General features: G+C 37.1%; 1 protein-coding gene across 12 annotated transcripts in view; it reads left to right on the top strand.

Moving 5' to 3' along the window:
• Positions 1–12765, top strand: part of FLACC1 (flagellum associated containing coiled-coil domains 1) — a 76019-nt gene that overhangs the window by 28700 nt on the left and 34554 nt on the right. For all 12 annotated transcript variants that reach the window (NR_110620.2, XM_024452696.2, XM_047443393.1 and 9 more), the window contains 2 exons: positions 4757–4854; positions 5068–5120. Coding sequence is in view for 11 of the 12 variants with exons in the window: in XM_024452696.2 (XP_024308464.1) it covers positions 4757–4854; positions 5068–5120 (151 nt within the window). In the remaining variant the exon portion in view is untranslated. The remainder of the gene's footprint in view (positions 1–4756; positions 4855–5067; positions 5121–12765) is intronic.

Below are 12765 nucleotides of genomic sequence, written 5' to 3'. Positions count from 1 at the left end.
CAAAGCTATAGTAACCCAAACAGCATGATACTGGCATAAAAAAACAGACACATAGACCAATGGAACAGAATAGAGGCCTATAAATAAATTTATACACCCATAGCCAACTGATTTTTGACAAAGGTGCCAAGAACACACACTGGGAAAAAAGATAGCCTTTTCAATAAATGGCTTTTAGTCAAATTAAAAGAAGTAGATAAAACAGAGATCTCAAAGAAGCTAATATTACACCTCACAAAACTAGGAAAGAAGAACGAAATAAGCCCAAAGTATGCTGAAGAAAGAAAATAATAAAGATCAAAGCAGAAATAAATGAAATAGAGTCTAGAAAAACAATATAAAAATCAATGAAGCTAAGAGTTGTTTTTTGAAAAGATAAAAGCAACAAACCTTTAGCTAAACTAAGAATAAAATAGAGAAGACTCAAATAAATAAGATCAGAAATGAAAGAGGAGACATTACAACTGATATGACAAATACAAAGGATCGTAAGAGACTACTGTGAACATTTATATGGCAATGAATTGGATAATCTAGAAGAAACTGATAAATTTCTAGACACATAAAACCTGCCAAGACTTAATCATAAAAACAATAGAAAATCTGAACAGACCAATAAAGATGATATTGAATAAGTAATAAAAAGCCTACCATCCAAAAAAAACCCAGACCTGGTGCCTTTACTGCTTAATTCTACCTGACATTTAAAATAAGAACTAACATCAATTCTTCTCAGATTCTTCTAAAAAAGTGAAGAGGTGGAAGGACTTTCACATGATTTTTTTTTTAGCTTTTTTTTTTTTTTTTAGGCAGAGTTTCACTCTTGTTGCCCAGGCTGGAGTGCAATGGTGCGATCTTGGCTCACCACAACCACCACCTCCTGAGTTCAAGCGATTCTCCTGCCTCAGCCTCCTGAGTAGCTGGGATTACAGGCATGCACCACCACGCCTGGCTAATTTTGTATTTTTAGTAGAGATGGGGTTTCTCCATGTTGCTCAGGCTGGTCTTGAGCTCCCAACCTCAAGTGATCTGCCTGCCTCGGCCTCCCAAAGTGCTGAGATTACAGGCATGAGCCAACGCACCCAGCCTGTTCACACTATTTTTATGAGGCCAGGATTACTCTGATACCAAGTCAGACAAGAACATTATAAGAAAATAAAATTACAGGCCAAAATCCTTAAATGAACTTAGATACAAAAATCCTTAATTAAATATTAGCAAACAGAATTCAGCAACATATTGAAAGGATCATCCACCATGATCCAGTGAGACTGATCCCCTGGGATGCAAGAACGGTTGGACACACACAAATCAATAAATGTGATACCTCACATTAATAGAATGAAGGACAAAACCGTATGAACAGACACTTCTCAAAAGAAGACATTTATGCAGCCAAAAGACCATGAAAAAATGCTCATCTTCACTGGCCATCAGAGAAATGCAAATCAAAACCACAATGAGATACCATCTCACACCAGTTAGAATGGCGATCATTAAAAAGTCAGGAAACAACAGGTGCTGGAGAGGCTGTGGAGAAATAGGAAGAGTTTTACACTGTTGGTAGGACTGTAAATTAGTTCAACCATTGTGGAAGTCAGTGAGTCAGTGTGGTGATTCCTCAGGGATCTAGAACTAGAAATACCATTTGATCCAGCCATCCCATTACTGGGTATATACCCAAAGGATTATAAATCATGCTGCTATAAAGACACATGCACACGTATGTTTATTGTGGCACTATTCACAATAGCAAAGACTTGGAACCAACCCAAATGTCCAACTATGATAGACTGGATTAAGAAAATGTGGCACATATACACCATGGAATACTATGCAGCCATAAAAAATGATGAGTTTGTGTCCTTTGTAGGGACATGGGTGAAGCTGGAAACCATCATTCTCAGCAAACTATCGCAAGGACAAAAAACCAAACACTGCATGTTCTCACTCATAGGTGGGAATTGAACAACGAGAACACATGGACACAGGAAGGGGAACATCACACTCTGGGGACTGTTATGGGGTGGGGGGAGGGGGGAGGTATAGCATTTGGAGATATACCTAATGCTAAATGACGAGTTACTGGGTGCAGCACACCAACATGGCACATGTATACATATGTAACTAACCTGCACATTATGTACATGTACCCTAAAAAAGTATAATAAAAAGTAAATAAATAAATAAATCCAATTAAAAAATGGGTAAGGGACCTGAATAGACATTTCTCAAAAGAAGACATACAAATGGCCAACAGACATATGAAAAAATGCTCAATATTGCTAATCATTAGGGAAATGCAAATTAAAACCATAGTGAGTTATTATCTCACATGGATCAGAATAGCTATTATCAAGAAGGCGAAAGATAACAAGTGTTGAAGATGTGGAGAAAAGGGAACACTTACAAAGTGTTAGTGGGATTGTAAATTAGTATGGCCATTATGGAAAACTGTATAGAGGTTGCTCAAAAAACTAAAAATAGTAATACCATATGATCCAGCAATCCCACTTCCGAGTGCTTACCCAAAATATTTGAAATCAGTTTGTTGAGATGTCTGTATTCCCATGTTCAATTCAGTACTATTAACAACATCCAAGTTATGGAATCAACTTAAGTGTCCATCAGTTGATCAATGGATAAAGAAAATGTGGTATATACATAAAATGGAATACTATTCAGCCTTTAAAAAGAAGGAAATTCTGGCATTTGTGACAACATGGATGGAACTGGAGAGCATTATGCTAAATAAAATAAACCGGGCACAGGAAGACAAATACCACATATTCTCACTTATATGTGGGATCTGAAACAATCAAACTCATAGAAACAGCGAGTAAAATGGTGGTTAAAGAGACTAGGGGGTGGGGGGAATAGGGAGATGATGGTCAAAGGGTACAAAATCTCAATTAGGCAGGAGAAATATGGGATTTTCTTAGATCTATTGCACAGAGTAGTAAATATAGTTAATAATAGAGTATTGGACATTTCAAAATTGCTAAGAATAAATTTCAAATGTTCTCACTGAAAAAACTTTTAGGCTGGGCGCAGTGGCTCACGCCTGTAATCTCAGCACTTTGGGAGGCTGAGGTGGGTGGATCACCTGAGGTCACGAGTTCAAGACCAGCCTGGCCAACATGGTGAAAACCCATCTCTGCAAAAATACAAAAATTGGTTGGACATAATGGCAGGTGCTTGTAATCCCAGCTACTCAGGAAGCTGAGGTGAGAGAATCGCTTGAGCCCAGGAGGCGAAGGTTGCAGTGAGCCGAGATTGCGCCATTGCACTCCAGCCTGGGGGACAGAGCCAGAGACTACGTCTGAAAAAAAAAAAGAAAAAACTTTAAAGTATTTCAGGTGATGACTATGTTAACTAGTTTGGTTTCATTATTCCACATTGTATTCATAAATCATAACATCACTTTTTACCCCATAAATATATATAATTATAAGTTATCAATTTATAATTAAAAAAAGAAATCCTGGTGGAGAGACAGCACTCTTAGCTGAGGCATAAACTTTTATGTACTTATTCATTTATTTATAAACTTTATTTTTTAGAGTAGTTTTAGAGTTTTAGGTTTACAGCAACATTGAGGGGAAAGTATAAAAGATTTCCCATATACTTACTGCCCCCTCACACACATAGCTTCCCCCATTATCAATATCCCCAAAAGTGGTAACATTTGTTATAATCAATGAACCTATATTGACACATCATTATCACCCAGAGTTCATAGTTGACATTAGAGTTCACTCTTGGTACTGTACATTCAATGAGTTTGGACAAATGTGTAATGACATGTATCCACTATTCTAGTGTCATAACAATAGTTTCACTGCCCTAAAAATCTGCTTCGCTCTGCCTATTCATCCTACCTCCCATCCCTAACCTTGGGCAAACACTGATCTCTTTACTGTCTCCATAGTTTGACCTTTTTCAGAATGTCATATAGTTGGAATCATACCCTATGTAGCCTTTTTAAATTGGCTTCCTTCACTTAGTAATATGCTTTAAAGGTTCCTCCATGTCTTTTCATGCTTGATAGCTCATATGGACTCATTTTAATACTCATCATAAACACTGCCAACATTGCTTCCTGGAATGGAGGCTGGAGAGAACTTGGGTTCTAAAATTATCCTGGGTGGCAATGCAGCCCATAGTTTCCCGAGCAAGCTATAGACAAGACTGTGCTGACTATTAGAGGGGAATCTGTGGTCATGCTGGCTCCATTCAAAACAATGATGGTAGAAAAGGGTCCCCTCACCCTTTCTGGATAGATGCCAGGATAATGCTTCAGGAAGTGAAGGCCCCAGGCTGAGTATGGTAGCTCACGCCTGTAATCCCAGCACTTCGGGAGGTCAACGCAGGAGGATTGCTTGAGTCCAGGAGTATTTTGAAACCAGCCTGGACACCATAGCAAGACCCCGTCTCTACAAAAAATTAAAAAATTAGATGAGCATGGTGGCACATGCCTGTGTTCCCAACTACTTGGGAGGTTAAGGTGGGAAGATCACTTGAGCCTGGGAGGTTGAGGCTGCAGTGAGCTGTGACCATGCCACCACACTCACTCTGGGCAACAGAGGGAGACTCTGACTCAAAAAAAAAAAAAAAAGATTTAAAAATTTTAAAAATAAAAAAGTGAGAACCTCACTTCCTGTGGGAGGGTGGAGGGTAGGATCAGATCAGGGTAACAGCTCAGCTCTGGACTTCTTTTTACTAATGATTGTGGCCTTCTCCTGGGGTCCCACAGGGAGCTCAAAGAGGCCCATGAAGCAGAACTCAGTGAGTTGGAGAACAACTACAAAGCAGCCTTGAAGGCAGAGAAGTTGGCTGCCCAAGAGAAGCTAGGTACTGCTGGGACCTGGGAGAATGACCCTGGATGAAGGTCCAGGCAATGGCATTTCTAATAAGCTTCTAGGGTGATTTCCAAGGCACACAAAGGTTTTACTACCTTGGTGATGAGTTTGGGGTGGGGAAGGTGTGCAGAAGAACTCACATTTGAATTTGAAAATGTGCATATCAGAAGACTAATGATGATCCTGTTGTTTTCCTTTTATCCAGAGGAGATGGGAAAAGAATACAAGTATTTGAAGAATATGTTTCGTACGTATCAGGTGAGATACACAGCTCCCTGTTGGATTACAAGAGAAGGAAGGCTCATTCCTGGCTAACATTGGGATAAATCTAGAGCTTTTGTCCAGAAAATAATGTCCTGAGATTCCCAGCATCCTTAGACCTAAGTGGCACTAGCTGCACCCAGGGGGAGGATGAACCCAATGGCTTCCATGCATGACAAGTCAGGCACCCAAATCCTGAAGAGCACTACTGAAAAATATGTTTGTGATTACAAAAGTAATAGCTTCTCATTTTTTGTAATGGAGCAAAAAGAAATATCACCACCCAAAGACAACCCCTGTTAATATTTGTACTTTGTTAGAACTGCAGTTGAGATCATACTGTATATTGTATAACATCTATATATTTTTTATATGTTCTTTATCAAGCATATAAGAAACTTTTCCCTCCTTTATAATGACTTGATATTATCCTAATGAAATTGCCATTGGGTTCTAAAATTTTACTGTTCCCCTATTATTGGGCATTTGAGTTGTTTCCAATTGCTTGCTGTAACAGATAATACCACTTTGAATATCTTTGATTCTAGAAGTAGAGTGCTTGGTCAAAAGGAATGAACTTTAAAAAAAGTCAACTTTCATTTTAGATTCAGGGGATACATGTACAAGTTATTGTGTGATGCTGAGGTTTGGGATATGAATGATCTCATTACCCAGCTGGTGAGCATAGTACCCAATAGTTATTCCACCCTTCCCCCTCTTCCTCTCTCCCAATAGCCCCCAGTGTCTACAAGAACACGTGGCACTTGGTTTTCTGTTCCTGTGTTAATTGGCTTTAGGATAATAGCCTCTAGAGCCATCCATGTTTCTATGAAGGACATGATTTTGTTCTTTTTTATGGCTGCATAGTATTCCATGGTATATGTACCACATTTTGTTTATCCAGTCCACTGTCAGTGGGTACTTAGGTTGATTCCATGTCTTTGCTATTGTGAATTGTCTGTGATTAACATACAAGAGAAGGTGTCTTTTTGGTAGAAAAATTTATTTTCTTTTGGATATATACCCAGTAATGGGATTGCTGAGTCAAATGGTAGTTCTGTTTTAAGTTCTTTGAGAATTTCCAAGCTGCTTTCCACCGGCAATGAACTAATTTACATTCCTACCAACGGTGTATAAGCATTCCCTTTTTCCTCCAACCTCACCAGCATCTGTTGTTTTTTGGCTTTTTAATAATAACCATTCTAATGTGTGTGGGCTGGTATCTCATTATGGTTTTTGATTTGCATTTCTCTGATGATTAGTGACATGAAGCATTTTTTATGTTTTCTGACCACTGTATGTCTTCTTGTTTTTTACACACTATTACATTCTATTTATGACAAGAAATATTTACATGATTGGAAAAAGTAAAAATTGGAGGACAAAAAGCAGATTAGTATTTACCATGGGCTGGACTGGGACTGGGGAAGGGGCTTACTACAAAGGGACAGGAGAGAATTACTGGAGATGTAGTGGTGGTTCCGTAACTATCCGTTTGTCAAACACATTAAAAGTATACTGAACAAGGGCACATTTTACTCAATTAAACTGACATTAAAAAAAGAAGTGAAAAAGAAGAAATTCCATTTAGAATGTTGAAAAACTGTAGATTTAGTTCTAGAATTCTGGGGCTCTATAACTTATTTCAAAATATAGGTTTTCAGCCCATTTTTAACTTATCAAATCTTTATTCAGAAATCCAAAGTTTATATTTAAAAATAGCTCATTTAAATTTGACCATAGGCCGGTGCTGTGGCTGATGCCTGTAATCCCAGCACTTTGGGAGGCCGAGGCAGGCAGATCACCTGAGGTCAGGATTTTGAGACCAGCCTGGCCAACATGGCAAAACCCTGTCTCTACTGAAAATACGAAAATTAGTCGGACATGGTGGCACACACCTGTAATCCCAGCTACTCAGGAAACTGAGGCGGGAGAATCGCTTGAACCTGGGAGGCAGAGGTTGCAGTGAGCCGAGATCGTGCCACTGCACTCTAGCCTGGGCAACAGAGCAAGACTCTGTCTCAAAAAATATATATAAATAAATAAAATAAAAAAGAAATAAATTTGACCCTAAAGCTAACACATGTAAAAATTATATAAAAGAAAAGAAAATTGTTCCAACTTTTTTACTTTGGGGTTTTTAAAAAAGTTTTATTTCAATAGCTTTGGGGATACAAATGGTTTTTTTGTTACCTGGATGAATTATATAGTGGTGAATTCTGAGACTTTAGTGCACCCATCATCTAAGTAGTGTATATTGTACCTAATGTGTAGTTTTGTTTTTTTTTTATCACAAGCCACTCTCCCACCTCCCCCTTCTGAGTCTCTAAAGTTCATTAATGAATATGCCTTTGCATATTCATGACTTAGCTCCCACTTTTAAGTGACATCATACAGTTTTTGGTTTTCCACTCCTGTGTTACTTTGTTTAGAATAATGGCCTCCAGCTCCATCCAAGTTGCTGCAAAAGACATTTCATTCCTTTTAATGACTGAGTAGCAGTCTATGGTGTATATATGCCACATTTTATTTATCCACTCATTAGTCAACGGGCACTTAGGTTGGTTCCACATCTTTGCAACTGTGAATTGTGCTGCTATAAACATACGTGTACAAGTGTCTTTTTCTGTAATGACTCATTTTCCTTTCGGTAGAGATCAAGTAGTGGGATTGCTAGATTGAATGGTAAATCTACTTTTAGCTCTTTAAGAAATCTCCATACTCTTTTCCAAAAGGTTGTACTAATTTACATTCCCACCAGCAGTATATAAGCACTCCCTTTTCCCCACATCCACACCAAAATATATTGTTTTTTTACTTTTTAATAATGACCATTCTTGCAGGAGTAAGGTGGTATCTCATTGTGGTTTTAATTTGCATTTCCCTGATGATTAGTGATATTGAGCACTTTTTCATGTTTGTTGGCCATTTGTATATCTTCTTTTGAGAAATATCTATTCATGTCATTTGCCCACTTTTTAATGGGATTATTTGTTTTTTTCTTGCTGATTTGTTTGAATTCCTTGTAGATTTTGATTACTAGTCCTTTGTCAGATGCATAGTTTGCAAATATTTTCTCCCATTCTGTGGGTTGTCTGTTTATTATTTCTTTTGCTGTACAGAAGCTTTTTAGTTTAATTAGGTTCTATTTATTTATTTTTGGTTTTGTTGCATTTGCTTTTGGGGTCTTAGTCATGAATTATTTGCCTAAGCCAATGACTGGAAGAGTTTTTCTAATGTCTTCTAGAATTTTTATAGTTTCGGGTCTCATATTTAAGTCTTTGATCCATCTTGAGTTGATTTTTGTATAAGGTGAGAAATATGGATCCAGTTTCATTTTTCTACATGTGGCTTGCCCATTCTCCCAGCACCACTTATTAAATAAAGTATCATTCCCCAATTTATGTTTTTGTTTGCTTTGTCAAAGATAAGTTGGCTATACATATTTGGCTTCATTTCTGGGTTTTCTGTTCTGTTTCCTTGGCCTATGTGCCTACTTTTATACCAGTACCATGCTGTTTTGGTAACTATAGCCTTGTAGTATAATCTGAAGTCTAGTAATGTGATACCTCCAGATTTGTTCTTTTTGCTTAGTATTGCTTTGGCTATTCTGGCTCTTTTTTGGTTCCATATGAATTTTAGAACTTTTTTTCTAATTCTGTGAAAAATAATGTTGATATTTTGATGGGAATTGCACTGGATCTGTAATGCAAGATTACTTTGGGCAGTATGGTCATTTTCACAACGTTGATTCTTCCAATCCATGAGCATAGAATGCATTTCCATTTGTTTGTATAACCTATTACTTCTTTCAGCTGTGTTTTATAGTTCTCCTTGTAGAGATCTTTCACCTCCTTGGTTAAGTACATTCCTAAGTATTTTATTTTTTTGTAGCTGTTGTAAAAGGGTATCAGTTCTTTTTTTGATTCTCAGCTTGGTCGTTGTTAGCGTATAGCAGTGCTACTGATATGTGTACACTGATTTTGTAAACTGAGACTTCACTGAATTCGTTTATCAAATCTTAGAGTCTTTGGAGGAGTCTTTAGGATTTTCTAGGTATACAATTATATAATCTTCAAACAGCAATAGTTTGACTTCTTCTTTTCCAATTTGGACGCCCTTTATTTCTTTCTCCTGTCTAATTGCTCTAGCTAGGACTTCCAGAACTATGTTGAATGAGAGTGGTGAAAGTGAAGGTGGCCATCTTGTCTTGTTCCGGTTCTCAAGGGGAATGCTTTCAACTTTTTTCCATTCAGTATGATGTTGGCTGTGGGTTTGTCACATATGGCTTTTATTATTGAGGTAGGTCCCTTCTATGCCTAGTTTGTTAGGAGTTTTAATTATGAAGGATGCTGGATTTTATTAAATGCTTTTTCTGAATCTATTGAGATGATCATGTGTTTTTTGTTTTCAATTCTGTTTATGTGATGTATCACATTTATTGACTTGTGTGTGTTAAACCATCCCTGCCTCCCTGGGACAAAATCCACTTGAATTATCTTTTTGATGTGCTATTGGGGTCGGTTAGCTAGTATTTTGTTGAGGATTTTTGCATCTATGTTCAACATCAGTGAAATTGGTCTGTAGTTTTTTTTATTTGTTGTGTTCTTTCCTGATTTGGATATCAGGGCGATACTGGCTGCATAGAATGATTTAGAGAGGATTCCCTCTTTCTCAATCTTTCGGAATTGTTTCAGTAGGATTGTACCAATTCTTCATTGAACATCTGGTGGAATTCAGCTGTGAATCCATCTAGTCCTGGGCTTTTTTTGTTGTTCTTGGCAATTTTGAAATTACTGATTCAATCTTGCTGCTTGTTATTCACCTGTTCAGGGTTTCTGTTTCTTCCTGATTTAATACAGGAGAGTTGTACGTTTCCAGGAATTTGTCTATTTCCTCTAGGTTTTCCAGTTTGTATGCAAAAAGGCGTTCATAGTAGCCTCAAGTGATCTTTTGTATCTCTGTGGTTCTGTGGGTTGTAATGTCTCCAATTTCATTTCTAATTGAGCTTATTTAGATCTTCTCTTCTTTACTTGTTTAATCTTTTCTTCTTTTCTTGGCTAATCTAGTCTATTTTATTTTTTCAAAGAACCAGCTTTTTGTTTCATTGATCTTTTTATATTTTTTGTTTGAATTTCAGTTAGTTCTGCTCTGATGTTCATTATTTCTTTTCTTCTATCTTTGGACTTCGTTTTTTTTGTTTCTCCAGTTCCTTGCAGTGTGACATTGTCAATTTGTGCTCTTTCAGACTTTTTGATGCAGGCGTTTAGCACTATAAACTTTCCTAGCACTGCTTTTGCTGTATCCCAGAGGTTTTTTTAGTTTTTAGTTTTTTGAGACAGTCTCACTCTGTCAACCAGGCTGGAGTGCGGTGGCACTATCTTGGCTCACTGCAAGCTCTGCCTCCCAAGTTCAAGCAATTCTCGCACCTCAGCCTCCCAAGTAGCTGAGACTGAGACTACAGGCGCCTGTTACCACACCCAGCTAATTTTTGTATTTTTAGTAAAGATGGGGTTTCACCATGTTGGCCAGCCTGGTCTCAAACTCCTGGCCTCAAGTGATCCACCTGTTTGGCCTCCCAAAGTGCTAGAATTACAGGCATGAGCCACCGAACCCCACCTATCCCAGAGGTTTTGATAACTTGTGTCATTATGATTCAATTCAAAAATTTTTTAAATTTCCATCTTGATTTCACTGTTTACCCCAGATATCATTCAGGAATGGATTATTTTATTTCCATGTATCTGTATAGTTTTGAGGATTCCCTTTGAAATTGATTTTTAGTTTTATTCTGCTATGGCCTGAGAAGATACTTCATAGGATTTCAATTTTTAAAAATTAATTGAGACTTGTTTTGTGACCTATCATATGGCCTATCTTAGAGACTGTTCTATGTACCAATGAGAAGAACATACATTCTACAGTTCTTGGGTAGAATGTTCTGTAAATAGCTGTTATGTTCATTTGTTTTAGCATGTCATTTAAGTCCATTTTTTCTCTGTTGGCCTTCTGTCTCAAAGACTTGTCTAGTGCTGTCAGTGGTATATTAAAGTATCCCACCATTACTGTGTTGCTGTCTATCTCATTTCTTAGGTCTAGTAGTAATTGTTTTATGAATCTGCAAGCTCCAGTGTTAGATGCATGTAAATTTAGGATTGTAATATCTTCTTGTTGGATTGATCCTTTTATCATTATATTGACCATCTTTGTCTTGTCTTACTGTTGTTGCTTTGAAGTTTGTTTCGTCTGATATAAGAATAGCTACTCCTGCTTGCTTTTGGTGTCCATTTGCATGGAATATCTTTTTCCACCCTTTTCCCTTGAGTTTATTTGAATCCTTTCATGTTAGGTGAGTCTCTTGAAGACAGCAGATATTTGGATTGTGATTTTTGTTATCCATTCTGTCATTCTGTATTTTTTAAGTGGAGCGTTTAGGCCATTTACATTCAACATTAATATTGAGATGTGAAGTACTCTTCTCTTCATCATGTTAATTGTTATGTATATAGCTTTTCTTTTTTCATTCTGTTATTGCTTTATAGACTTCATGAGTTTTAAGCTTTCAAGAGATTCTATTTTGGTGCGTATTTGGCTTTTGTTTCAATGTTTAAAACTCCTTTTAGCCCACCTTTCTTTCTTTTCTTTCCTTCCTTCCTTCCTTACTTTTTTTTTTTTTTTTTTTGATAGAGTCTGGCTCTGTTGCCCAGGCTGGAGTGCAATGTTGCAATCTTGGCTCACTGCAAACTCTGTCTCCTGGGTTCAAGAGATTCTCATGCCTCAGCCTCCCAAGTAGCTGAGATTACAAGCATGCACAATCACACCTGGCTAATTTTTGTATTTTTTAGTAAAGACAGGGTTTTGCCATGTGGCCAGGCTGGTAGCATTTCTTGTAGTTTGGTTTGCTAGTGACAAATTCCCTCAGCATTTGTTTATCTGAAAATGACTTTTATTTCTCCTTCAATTACAAAACCTAGCTTTACAGGATACAGAATTCTTGGCTGACAGTTTTTTTCTGTTTAAGGAGATTGAAGATAAGACCCCAATACCTTCTGGCTTGTAAGGTTTCTGCTGAGAAGTCTGCTGTTATTCAGATAGGTTTTCCTTTATAGCTTACCTGATGCTTTTGTCTTACTGCTCTTAGAATTATTTCCTTCATGTTGAGTTTAGATAGCCTGATGACTATATGCCTTGGTGAAGATCTTTTTGCAATTAATTTCCCAGGAGTTCTTTGAGCTTCTTGGATTTGGATATCTAGATCTCTAGCCACGCCAGAAAGGTTTTCCTCAATTATTCCCTGAAATAAGTTTTCCAGACTTGTTATTTTCTCTTCTTCCTCTGGAACACCAGTTATTCTTAGGTTTGGCTGTTTAACATAATCCCATATTTCTTGAAGACTTTGTTCATTTCTTTTTATTCTTTTTTCTTTATTTTTGTCTGATTGGGTTAGTTTAAAAACCTTGTCTTCAAGCTCTGAAATTCTTTCTTCTACTTGTTCTAGTCTATTGTTAAAGCTTTCTGCTGCATTTTGTATTCCCTAAGTGTGTCTTTCATTTCTAGAAATTCTTATTGTTTTTTCTTGATAATATCTATATCTCTAGAAAATTTTTCATTCATATCCTGAAATGCTTTTTAAATTTATAAT

Source organism: Homo sapiens, chromosome 2 (assembly GCF_000001405.40).
Source record: "Homo sapiens chromosome 2, GRCh38.p14 Primary Assembly".
Taxonomy (NCBI): domain Eukaryota; kingdom Metazoa; phylum Chordata; class Mammalia; order Primates; family Hominidae; genus Homo; species Homo sapiens.
The sequence above is the reverse complement of the archived record's forward strand: the minus strand, read 5'-3'. Positions and strand labels throughout refer to the sequence as shown.